This window comes from Homo sapiens, chromosome 1 (assembly GCF_000001405.40).
Source record: "Homo sapiens chromosome 1, GRCh38.p14 Primary Assembly".
NCBI classification, from domain to species: Eukaryota; Metazoa; Chordata; class Mammalia; order Primates; family Hominidae; genus Homo; species Homo sapiens.
In genome coordinates this window covers 166,717,024-166,730,343 of record NC_000001.11, presented here as the reverse complement: position 1 = coordinate 166,730,343, position 13,320 = coordinate 166,717,024, and the positions used below count along the sequence as shown (strand labels likewise).

Genomic DNA, 13,320 nt, shown 5'->3' with positions numbered 1-13,320 from the left:
AGGGCTGTCAAATGCCTTTGGGGGCTCTACTCCAGAGAAACAAAGAGGCACAACCAATTGGAATGATAAGCTGGGCGTCGAGCAACAGCACTGCAGGCCCAAGCTGGCCCTGCTTGGTGAAAAGCAGAGCAGGGGTCAGGGGGAGGGCTGTGAGGAAGACATCTGGCCTGCTCTCCACAGGTCAGCTGTGGCTTGTTGGAGGTGCAAGCAAAGCAATCAGGCTCTTTATTCCCTCTCCAGCCCAGGGAAGCAAGGGTTGGTACCACAATGGTGGCAATGGCAGAAGTCCAGTCGGTGTCTCTGGAAGTTCCATCCCAGGGAAATGACAAGCCACCACCAACTGAAGTGATTAGGCAGTGGTGGGGTGGCTGTGCTGGGGACCCAGGCTGGGAGGGGCAGCAGGGGCAGGGACCCACATGGAAGACAGTTTGGCTGCCTTTTTGTATGGCAGCTGTGGCATGTTGGAGGCCCATGAAAGTTCTCAGGCTCTTCGCTCCCTCCCCATCCTGAGGGCAGCAGGTACAGGGATTGTGATAGTGGCAATTACAATGGGCCTGTTTGTTACCTCTGGGACCTATGTCCTAGAGAAATGGAGAGCCGTAATTGGCCAGAATGATCAGGCTGGGGTAGGGTGGCTGTGCTGGGGGCCCAGGCCTGAGGGCCTTGCTCGGTAAGGTACAGCAGAGGTGGGGCCTAAAGTCCATTTACTCCTCAGCACTGTGGATGTGGCCCCTATACTAGGGGTGTACAAGGGAGTCTGGCCTCCCTTGTTGGTGAGGCTACAGCAGCTGGCACTTGGGTGCTCAGGGATCCAAGGCCTGTGGGGCTCAAAATGGGCTGAATTGTGGCTCTGTCCAGACTCCAGGCAGCTCTCCATGTTGGTGTGGAGGTCCAGGAGGGTCAAAGGAGATCTCCTGTGCTCATGATTGAAAAGGTCCATGGTGGAGATGTGGGTCTCCAGGGCCTCTCACTCACCCTTTCCCCATGGTATGGAGCCTGCTCTGGTTCTGTGCCAATCCAGGGTGGGTGGCTGTCCTGCTTCACTCCACTCTGCTCTCCATGGTTTGCCATGCTTCCTGGATGAATCCCAATGTGACCTTCTGGATGAACTACTTGAAGAACTAGTGCTTACTTGCCACTGTGTCTCCTCTCCATGTGAGAGGCATGCACAAGCTGCTTCTAGTTAGCCATCTTGGCACTTCTGTATGTTAACACTCTTTATCCCAAAGTTGTACCACATTATCCTCATGCCAACAAGCATAAGGATGCTTATTTTTCTGTATCCTTGGTAGACCAGTGTATTATTAAATTTTTTTATCTTGAAAATCTGGTAGGTAAAATAAATAATATATAATTTAAAAACTTCAATTGAAGTAAAATATACATACAGAAAAAATGTAAATAACTCAATAAATTTTTTAATGAAACATACCTGTGTTACCAAAACCCAGATCAAGAAGCAGAGCATTAATAATACTCCATGTCCTCCCTTGCAATTACCACCTTTCATCAAATATAACTAATGTCTGGACTTCCAAGAATGTAGATCAATTTAAGCTGTGTATAGAAATGTATAAATTATATATATATATATATATATATATGTGGTATATATACTCTTGTGTCTAGCTTCTGTCAATCTAGAAGAATAATGAGACAAGTCTTAATCATTTTAGGAGACTTATTTGCCAAAGTTAAGGACACACCCGGAGACAGGTCTATGCCTTTTTCTGCAGATGATTTTGAGGGCTCCAAATTTAAAGGGGAAGGGGTGGGATATTGAGAAGTATGCAATTTTCATGCAAGAGTCGGGTAGGGAAAAATTGTCATTTATGCCTTTGTTTTGGCTCAGTGAATCTATATTTTACATAAGATAACATAGATCAGGTTGGGCGTGGTGGCTCACGTCTGTAATCCCAGCACTTTGGGAGACCAAGGTGGGCTGATCTCTTGAGGTCAGGAGTTCGAGACCAGCCTGACCAACATGGCGAAACCCTGTCTCTACTAAAAATACAAAAAATTAGCCGGATGTGGTGGTGAGCACCTGTAATCCCAGCTACTCGGGAGGCTGAGGTGGGGAGAACTGCTTGATCCAGGAGGTGGAGGTTGCACTGAGCCAAGATTGCGCCACTGCACTCCAGCCTGGGTGACAAAGTGAGATTGTCTCAATTAAAAAAAAAAAAAAGATAACAGACAAAATGGGGCAGGGGAACAATCAGATGTGAATTTATTTTTGGTGGCCCGTGGGTGACTGCACCTGTAAAGATAAGCTGTCAATTTGCATTGCCATGGTGAAATTTTAACAGCTCACTAGGAATTTCGTTTTGAACAAAATATGGGGGAGGTGTGTAGCTTTTCATCTTGTAGCCATCTTATTTAGGAACCAAAGCGGGAGGCAGGTTTGCACAACCCAGCTCCTAGCTTGACTCTTCCGTTTGGCTAAATGAGTTTGAGGTCCCAAAATTTAATTTCCCTTCACGCTTCTTTCATTCAACATTTGTGTGTGTGTGTAATTGTAGATCATCAATTATTATTGCTGTAGTATAGTATTGGCTGTATGTGACTACATGACAATTTTATTATTTGTTCTACATTGAATTTTTTAAATGACAAATATTATGAAAAATTTCTGTGAACATTCCACTACATGTCTTTGGTTAATATGTGATTTATATAGTTCTTTTGGCTATATGCCTATGAGTAAAATTTCTGATTTGCAAGTATATATTTCTCCATGTTTAGTAACACTGCCAGTTTTTCAAAGTGGCGGTATCAATTTATCTTCCCAGTGACAGTATATGGGAGTTCTTGTTGTTCTATTTTTTCATCAACATTTGGCATTTTTCATTTTTCTTTAATAGCCATTCAGGGATGTATAATAGTATTTCATCTGGCTTTAATTTGCATCTACCTGCTGATTAACGATGTTAAGTACCATTTTGGGTATCTTCTTTTGTAAAGTGTTTTGTCTTTTTCTGATTTAAGTCCAATTTTTCATTCTTCATGTTAGCAATTTGCACTTTCTCTTCTTAAGCAGATTGCTAATATTTTAAATTTTTATTAATCCTTTTTAAAGGGATGACTGATTGTGTTTACTAGTTGCATTTAATCTGTTCCTTTACTCTGGAGCAATTTCTTAGTCTTTCCCTTTTATGACCTTTACATTTTTAAAGAACATAAGATAGCTATGTGTGTATTGTCCCTCCATTTGAGTTCCCTGATGTTTATCATGATTAGATTCAGATTATGCATACTTGGAAATACCATCAAAATAATTTTAGGTTCTTTTTGAGCATGTGAAATCAGGAGGCAAAAGATATCAATTGGTTCTATTATTATCAAATGTTAATTTGGTAACTAGGTTGGTATGATATCTACAAAGATTCCCCACTGTAGAGTTACCATTTCTCTCTTTGTAATTGGTAAGTATTTTGTGGAGAAATACTTTGAAGCAATACATTTGCTTTGTGAATATATCATTCTTTATTGTATTTTCATTAGTTGCCTTTGATTCTTGCCTGAATAAATTATTAGTATGGTGGTTGGGAATTAGTGAATTTTGAATACTATTAATGCTTCTATATTTATACATAAGCGTTTGAAGGTAAAGAGTAAATGAGATTTTTAATGTGATTTTTAACTTGTCTATTGACAATTTAAAAATATATATAATTTTAATATAATAAACTTTTAATTTTTGACCTTTGTGATGGTTAGTTTTAGGTGTCAACTTGACTGGATTAAAGAATACCTGGAGAACTGGCAAAGCATTATTTTTGGTGCACATGTAAGGGCGTCTCTCAAGGAGATTGATTAGTGAGTTGGGGTTTGAGTGGGGAAGATCTGTTCTCAATGTGGGTGGGCACCATCTAATCAGTTGGGGGGTCTGAATAGAACAAAAAAGGAAAGACAATTTCCTCTTTCTCTCTTTCTCCTGGAGCTGGAACACATTTCTTCTGCCCTTGCACGTCCAAACTCCAGGCTGTTTAGCCTTTGAACTCCAAGACTTACACCAGCTGTTATAAGATCACCAGGTTTGATTACCCATTGCACAATAACATACCAATACACTGAAATAGCAGGGGTTGAAGCAGAGAAAGAGTTTAATAATCATAGGGCAGCCAAATGAGGGTATGGGAGGAAACCTCAAATCTGCCACCCTGAGGGGTTTTGAACTGGAGTTTTTAAGATAATTTCGATGGGTAGAGTACAAAGGAGGTGGGGTCACTGATTGGTTGGGGAATGGGGGAGGAAATCATAAAGACATAGAAACTGCATTCTTGCACTGAGTCAGTTCCTCGGAGAGGGTTTTCAAACTGGCTGGTGTCAGTGGACCCATTGGAATACAGAATTTGGAAAATATCTCAAATGGAAAAGTTGAGGTTTCTTTAAAGATGTTATCTGTAGAAACATTTAAGGGAAGTTAGAACCTAGTGACAAGGAGTATGTGACTTTTAAGCAGTAAGAAGCTATAAGGAAGTGCCACCGGTAGAGTGTGTCCAGGTTCTTGACATCTTGACAAAGAATTAGACCACATGCACAAACAAGGCAAGAAAAGAATAAAGAAACCAAAACAGAGATTTATTGTAAATGAAAGTACATTCCATAGGGTGGGAGTGGGCCCGAGCACAGGGGCTCAAGAGCCCTGTTACTGAATTTTCTGGGGTTTAAATACCCTCTAGACATTTCCATTGGTTACTTGATGTATGCCCTACGTAAATAAAGAGGATATTTCCTGTCATAGCTGATGTGTTTCCATTTGATTTCATTCTAGGAAGTCTTTAGGTTCCCTGTCTCCAGGCCCTATTCGCCTTCCTTTTTTCCCCCCTGAAAGATGTGATCTCCATAAATCTTTATGGGAGGTGGCAGGTCTGATGCTCTTTCTTCTGTAACTGCTTCATGCTGGCTTGGAGCATAGTCCCTACCTATTGGGGATCACAGAACTCTCGCCATGCTCTGTCTAGTGGAGGCAGTGTACTCCTTGATGGCCAGGGGTGGTGTCTTCACCTGGAACTGGCTGGTACCCTTGTCGCATGATCATGTGAAGCTTGATGGTGCGATAAGATGAATTTGGTTAAAAGATTTAATGGAATTTCAGCGGGTGGATACCTATGCTGTCAGGAATGTTTGTTATAGAGATTTGCAGGAGAAAAACAAAACCTGTTCTGTTCTAGGATCTATGTGTTTCCTTAAAGTCTTAGCACAAGAAACTCCATTTTGGTTTGGTTTGGTCTGTTGGGGCTAGTGCATGAGCTCAGTCCAAAACAATGGCCTCCCACAATTTTTTTAAAAAAATTCTCCCTTTTTGGTCAGGTCCTCACATAGTGAGAGTATGACCACAACTTAGGGCCTTAGCACTACTCTCAGTTACCATCATTTTGGGTTTCTGGTCTCAGTATGTCATTCATAGGTTACAGTGTTCTCATGGTCGCACATTTCTTTCAGCTCTTGTCATTCCAATTGAAGAGAGACCATTTGACATCTTAGAGATGGCTGCATGCAAACATTTAAAGCCTTTGAGAGAATACAGCATGCCAGGGAGACTATTATTATGACTATAATATGACTATATAATGACTGTCCTCTTGGAGATAGTATGCTCCTTACCCAGGGTCCCCATAAATCAAACCTCCTAAAATCAGAGATCAAAGAATGAGCTAGATAAAGGGTCTACTCGCTTAACTAAGCAGTCTCTTTGTTAATCTGCTACAACTGAATCTCTATAATATCTGCTGTTTTCTCCAGACACTTTTCTGTTTAGCCAGTTCTATTATTCAGCTTAACTTTCACAAGAACATTTAAAGTCTGTTGTGTAACCATAGCCTTTACAGTAGAATCTGCTATAGAGCCTATTATGAGGGATACATTCTAATCATTGACTGTTTTACTCCAAACCATGGAAAAAGGTCCTAACAAATGATGCCCTTCTACAAGAGTGAAGGCCTCCTGGCAATGTTCTCTTTAACCCATAATGTGGGTTAAGAGGGGTGAACCAATGTTCTGTTTCTGACTGATTATGAAGCAGCATATGTACCATTAAAGTTTCTGACCTATACTGGGCCTTAATCTTTTCTCTATCAGATTATAAGTTTATCCATGCATAAGGCTGCCGGCAAAATCCTTCACAAATAAAAATATACCCCGTAAGTGCACACAAGAGACCTCTTTTTCATTTCTATTGTTCATAGAAGCATAAACAAGAAAAAATATTCATAGATAAGTGTCTCATGATAGTAGAAGCCTTGATCCATGATCTTGAGAAAAGCTGTTCACATCAAGAATGTCCATCTTCTTCTGAGGAGAGACTTCCCTGGTTAGTTTTACCTTAAGGGTTCCAGTGGGTGTACAGTTCCAAGAGCGTAGAGGGACACTTCTCAGTTTGAGATTATGAACCTAAAGTTCAAGTTTCCAAAGTTTGGCTGCAATGTGGATGGAAAGGACAGTCTTTCTCTGATGTTCTCAGAAGATCAAATTTTTGGGTTCTAGATTATGAAAGGGTTGATTATCTTCAGTGAATCATAAAAAGCTTTCTTTACCTGGTGAAAATGCACTGTGGCATAATAACTTAGTGTTATAACATCAGCCCTCTTGTGTGGGAGAGCACTTATATAACCAGAAAACATGCATTGAAGGTAAAAATGGAATAAAATCCCGTTATAAAATGTTTGAATGGTCCATCAAGTGACCAAATGTATCTGAAGCTTTGATTGTTTTCCCAGGAATATGAGATGAAACATTGGTTATAAACTATTTTAGCAATTTATAAGTCACCACACCAATATATTCAATTTGTATCATTTTATCTTTTCCATAATGAGTGATGGAATGCAGAACTTTTAATAATAAAAGCTTTAAGGACTCAGGAAGGACAAGGTGGCCATCCTGGTTCTCTCATGAGTCCATGCTTAATTAACATTAGACTTATATCCTATTGAATACCAGTCGTTTCTCCAATTTAGGTGCATAGCACTGGTAACTGATGGGTTATCATAGGTAATTTGACTCTTAGACCATGGAGTTCATTCAAATTGTGTATCTAAACAATTTCAGTATCAGCTGATTTAGCATGAAAATCTGGCAAAGTATTTTCTTGCTATTTAATTAATTTTTGTTCTACTTGGGTTAGCAGCTTTATAACCCAGTCAGTCTTTTCATTAAAGTTCCAGGAATTCTTACCCAGTTCAAATGATATGATTATAAAGTTATTAGAAACTTGTATTCAAGAGTGCTTTTTAGGGTTCTTTTCTTCCTTTCATGAACCTTCTCAAAGACACCATATTCTAGGATTTTTGTGCTTGTGAAATTTTCAGAAACTGCATCAGTATTAAGTAATTAACTGTAGAAATGACTTTAAATAATTATAGTTAAAAATACAATTGACAAGGAAATTTGGTTATTTCTGTGGTTTACAATAACATAATATCCATAATTATGATTTATAGCATATAATCAGACATATTAGAATTTTAGAAATCTTATACAATTTTTAACATATATTAATATCACTCACTAAAACCCAATGAGAAAATTAAACGTTTTTAAAAATTATTTTTGATGGTGCTTCTCATGTAACTAAACAGGTCAAGTAATTCTGTTTACCTCTCTTTTGGAAGCTTCAGGGGCCTTCTGCAGCATCTCAAAGTTAAAAGTCAGAAAAAGACAACCTTGAAGCTGAAATTTGATTTGGGAAGCCTATCAAATATGTTAAAGGTTTAAAACACTTGATATTATGAAATAGAATACCAGATTACAAGTCATTCATTTAGCCAAAATAATGACTCAAAATTTTTTTAAAAGGCAAAAGCCTTTACTCAATGAGAGATGGAAGGCTTTCCAAACAATCTGTCTCTTGTCTTTCCCTGCTTTGTTTCAGCAGTTTTATTTAAAGGGCTAACACAAATCTTTAATTATCTTTTTTTTTTTTTTGAGACAGAGTCTCACTCTTGTTGCCCAAGATGGAGTACAGTGGCATGATCTTGGCTCACTGCAACCTCTGCCTCCCAGGTTCCAGCAATTCTCCTGCCTCAGATTCCCATGTAGCTGGGATTTCAGGCATGTACCACCATGCCTGGCTAATTGCTGTATTTTTAGTAGAGACAGGGTTTCACCATGTTGGCCAGGCTGGTCTCAAATTCCTGACCACAGGTGATCTGCCCACCTTGGCCTCCCAAAGTGCTGGAATTACAGGTGTGAGCCACCACACCCAGACATTATCTTTTAATATTACATGAAAATCTTGTTCAAGAGAGAAAGCTAAATTTTACCCTAGCATTAGTATACTATTAATGTTAGCACCAATTTTTAATAAAACTTTATAGGCAAATCTTTCCAGTCTTAATCAGTTTGACCACAAGGTGAGATTCTCATAAATCTTTTATAACCCTTTGCAAATTTTTGTTAAAGAGCACATCAATGCTTTAAGAAAACCCTGTTTGTGCTTTTATTTCGATGTTTAATTTATGGAAAAACCAGAAAATACCCCTTTAAATTTAGCCAATATGTTCACACACAGAATTTTTTATGAGATTTTATTTTTTTTACAAACCTTCTACAGTTTGTTCAAACCTTTAGCTTTATCCTAACTTAAAACAATGCTTTAACCATTTGGGCTAAAAAAATCCATATTCCCATGTCTTCTTATAACCTTTTACCAAAAACGCATTTCACTATGCTTACACACTGTTCATGTAAAACTGTTTCTTCAGTAGTCTCAATTAAATGTTACAATGTTAACTCTTAGCAACTTTTACTTTGGGTGAAAACCTTGGTAAGTTCAGGATTTTAATTATGTACTAGGTGTGGAGCCTAGGGCCCAGAGAGAAGTTCAGATAAGGTCTATCTCTTTCCAGCATCTAATTCCATGTGTCCTAGGCCTTACTTAGCTGTAAAGCAGGCAAGGTGGACAGTTAAGAGTCATAGTGGCATTTTATGAAGCATTTAGGAGGCCTAATCTCCTTTAAATTGTACAACATTTCTTGCATAAATTCTCTTTTATAAATGATTTCACAACTTACACAGACCATCTATAACATGCTTGGACTTTCTGGCTGTCCTAAACATCTCCCATTTGAAACATCCAGTTATTTTACTTTAGGACGAGAATTTACCGTACAAGATCTTTCTTATATAAAATATTTTTTCTTTATAACCTTCTTTGCATAGCTAGGGGGCATGGCTAATTTCACATGTCCCCTGGTCTTATCTAGAATCAATTGCTCCAAAATAAACTGAACAATTTTTAAAAGTCAAAGAAGTAGTATATGAACTTAAAGCATTTAACAAACCTAATATCTGACCTGCATAATTTAGACCAAATGTTTGTATTTTGAAGATATTTTTATTTTACCAATAATCTTTAACACTGTCTTTATTTCCCAAAGATTATTTAAGTAACATGAACTAACTAAAAGACATTACACTTTTTACTTTTCTGAAAAAATATTTGCTTTAAGCTCTTATTATTAAATCAATTAATTAAACCTCTTTTCTATTATATATACAACACATATAAATACACAGACAGGCAGATGATAAAGGACTCATTCCCTAAGCCAGGAATTAAACCATAAACCTGGGCCACCATTGTGAAAAGAGAAAGCATGGCCACATGGTTATAAGGTCAAGCTTCCAAGGACATGACTGACCAGTTTGCTGGGCTGTCTTAAATAGGGTACCTATGGGGTCCTAGGTACACATTTCATCCTAAAGTACCCCTCTGTATGACAGAACAATACAGAAAGATACACAAAGCACACCAGATTCACTACAGCTTAAGATTAGCCTCAGAATTCTTTTTGGTATTAATAAAAATTTTACAGAGGAGGTAAACGGTGACTTTCAACTTTCATTTAACCAGTTCACACAAGAGAGAGAGAGAGGCCAGAGTCTGAATGGTAAGAAATTTTTACCCTTTTGCCAGCATGTTGCATTTCTGGGTTCTCTCCTCCTGAGCAGACCTAGCAACCTTGCTTGACTGTATGCAAACAAACACATTGATATGAATTAAGAACATTCACAAATCATTTACAAATTTTGGAGAAATTAGAGAGAGAGAGAGAGATGACTCAAATTCTATTTACAAAAGTATACTCAACATACCTAACATATTAGGAAGTTTAAACTCCAAAAAGTTAAAAAGCTGCTAATTCCTGCAGGCCTGACAAAGGTAGCCTAGGGATCCCAGATAAATAGAACAAATGATGACCTGCTAGAAATGCATAGGAGACAAAATAACTATTCACAGAACCAAATAAAAACCTTCCATTAGAACCTAAAAAAAAAAAATCATGGTTTTGTATATATACATACACAAGCAAAGCCCAAAGGAGAATAAAGAGCAAATGAATGAAAATTAAAAACAAAAACAAACAGGAAACCAACATTAAGTTTTTCCTATTCAATCTACCTTGGAGGTTACAGTGTTACCCAGGGCCCCCAAAAATCCACACAGTGAATGTTTTATTCCTGATACACAATTCAATAGCCTTAAGCCTACCAATATTACCATACATCTTGTACAATCAAGAAATTCACTGTAGGCACATGACCAATAAGCACTCAGGTGCCAGCACTATCCACACAAAACTGTAAACATAGTGTAAAGCAATGCGAACGTGTATGTGAAATTTGGCTCCACACTAAATCTGGCTTCATGCTTAACTATGTTTAAAAAAAGGATTGCCAAACTGCCAATGCATTTCTTTATAATATTTCTCATTTTACTTTAATCAAGACTAAAAGCTTTAACTATGAAAATGTTAATTAAGCAAATATATTCAATTCTCTGTCAGGTTTTAAGGAATATTTTATTATCTAAACTTTTCCACATTGTCCTCCCCTACTTACTGGTCCCTTAATACATTGTTTCAAAAATAACCTTTTCAAATCTGTAATTTGAACTAACTTTTAGATAACTACTCAGTTAGGCAAAAGTATTCTTTTTCTCACTAATAACACAACACTTTCTGACACATTTTGTATACAGAATTACCTATTAACTAGAATTCTGATCCTTAGTAACCTAAAACTTTAGCGAAACCATAAGAAGCCAGAAGTCCCGAACTGTCACATGTGGGCATTTATAGATAAGAACAATTCCACAATTTTTAGAAACATATTTCCTCATATCATAACTTTTTTAATTGGAAAGATCCAGATATTAAATGAGCATCAGAAATAATTTTAAGATTTTAATTTACACAAAAAGTTTGCCTACAATATTTGTTCCATTCACTGTACTCAATTCTTTCACTTTAAACAATTTATCTAGATTACTTCTGTAAACTGAGACATTAGACACTATAATTTAAAGTTAGTTATTTCCTTGTTAACCATGTTTTTAATAGCCAGTGAACATCAGGTGCTCACCTAAACCTAAGTAACAGTCTCAAAGTTAAATACATAGGTAATTTTGCCAGTAACTCAGAAGATTTAGCTAACATTAAATTATTCTTATTTGTCAAAAAGAGGCATGCAAACCAAGATCATTTTGTTTTGTCTGGGTTTGTAGTTTTATAACCTTCTATGCCAAACCGTGACATCTTAAAATATCTAGTAGAGACAAACATAAAATCCAGACAAAAATGTGTGCTGACAATTCTGAAAGCATTTCCATTTTTATTTTACCAATCATTTTTAAAATCAGCTTGTTTAGTAAAGTTACACTTAAGTCATGTGAACTTGAAAATTGCTTAGATTGATTTACTTAATTCATGAGCACTCTTACTTATAAGCCAATTCAGTAGACACAACATAAAACAATAAGTGTGCATATAAATAAACACATCTAGACATGTATATACACACACAAATGAAGATTCAATAGCTTTTACCTTGGAATCCTAGCCATGAGTTAGCAATACAGTTTTGCTGGTATTACTTTGTCCCAATAGATAATGCAATGAAGGCTGTGAATCAAAATTTCAGGTAAAGCAGTTTCCATGGCAGTTTTATTTTTAAAGGACAAACCTCCCCAGACTCCAAAGAACACTGGAATCAAACAGCACCAAAGGAGAGCGTCACACATTAACCATGTTCCCTGATGAGAACAGCAGCACAAAAGTCTGAATACATGCAACTCCATCCGACTTTCTCACTCAACAGCAAACTCCAGATTCCAAACAATATTGGAGCCAAACAGTATGGCAACTGTGAGAGAAAATTCTAAGAAGGGCTTAGTAAGAGACCACAGAACCTCTGCTGAGGGCATCCCCTTTGGAAAGGTTGAGGTCTGGAGGATGCCCCAGGGTATCCCCCTTTGGGGTCCAGTCTGACCTTTGGTGGGCACCAGTGCCACTTTCCCTCCAGAGGCAATGGCCTACTATGAGCTTTCCTTTTGCCCCTGGATGAAGGCCTCAACTTCCAGCATCCTTATAATTTGATAAGGCCATGCTTTCCCATGCTTCCCATTCCACTAGTAATAGCCATGAACTAATGATAGGAACTGGAGGCTGGGTAGGTTTCTTTTGTCCTTAGCCAACTGAGTTGGTTAAGGGAAGAATTTAGCATAAGAAAAGGTTTACATCACTTGAAACGTGTGAGTTCACCCCAAGCTGTGCCACATGTAGGGATCAGGGACCACCAGCAGAAAAGATAGTCCTTCAGAGTGGCCCTGGCCAGAAACCTGCCATTTCCTCTGTGTTTAGCTGCTATCCACCAAGGGTCCCAAGTTTGAAAGGAAAAGAGAGAGAGAGTAAGAGATTCCCCTGTATGGAGCAGAAAGGAAAATGAAAAGAAACAAATCCTAAACTTTGGGCTAACCTCCGGGCTGGTTTGCCAAAATATGTTACTGGTGCAGGTGTGTCCAGGTTCTTGGCATCTTGAACAAAGAATTGGACAAAATGTACAAACAAAGCAAGGAAAGAATGAAGCAACAGAAGCAAATATTTATTGAAAATAAAAGTACATTCCACAGGGTGGGAGCAGGCCCAAGCATGGGGGCTCAAGAATCCCGTTACTGAATTTTCTGGGGTTTAAATACCCTCTAGAGGTTTCCATTGGTTACTTGGTGTATGCTATATGTAAATGAAGGGGATATTTCCTGTCATAGCTGAAGTGTTTCCATTTGATTTAGTTCTAGGAAGTCCTTAGGTTTCCTGCCTCCAGGTCCTATTCTCCTGCCTCAGAAGAGGGCTATAGGGCAAGCTGGTTGATGCTTAGCAATGCTTCTATTCAAAGCTTTTGCCTTTGTTAAAATCCTAACAATTTCTTTTTATTAATTTTGTGAGGATGGTTTCACAGTAACATCTTGTGTTCTCAGGTTTGGGGCCTTGGGCTGAGAGTTACACCATCAGCTCCCCTGGCTCTGAGGTTTTGGAACTT

General features: G+C 38.1%; 1 annotated feature.

Moving 5' to 3' along the window:
* Positions 11,646–11,748: a silencer, noted in NCBI's record as "fragment chr1:166687833-166687935 (GRCh37/hg19 assembly coordinates)". NCBI's record gives its function as "represses an EF-1alpha promoter that drives an FKBP-Casp9 reporter gene in an ReSE screen in phorbol 12-myristate 13-acetate-treated (for megakaryocytic differentiation) K562 erythroleukemia cells {active_cell/tissue: K562(+PMA)}" and the evidence as "EXISTENCE:reporter gene assay evidence [ECO:0000049][PMID:32094911]".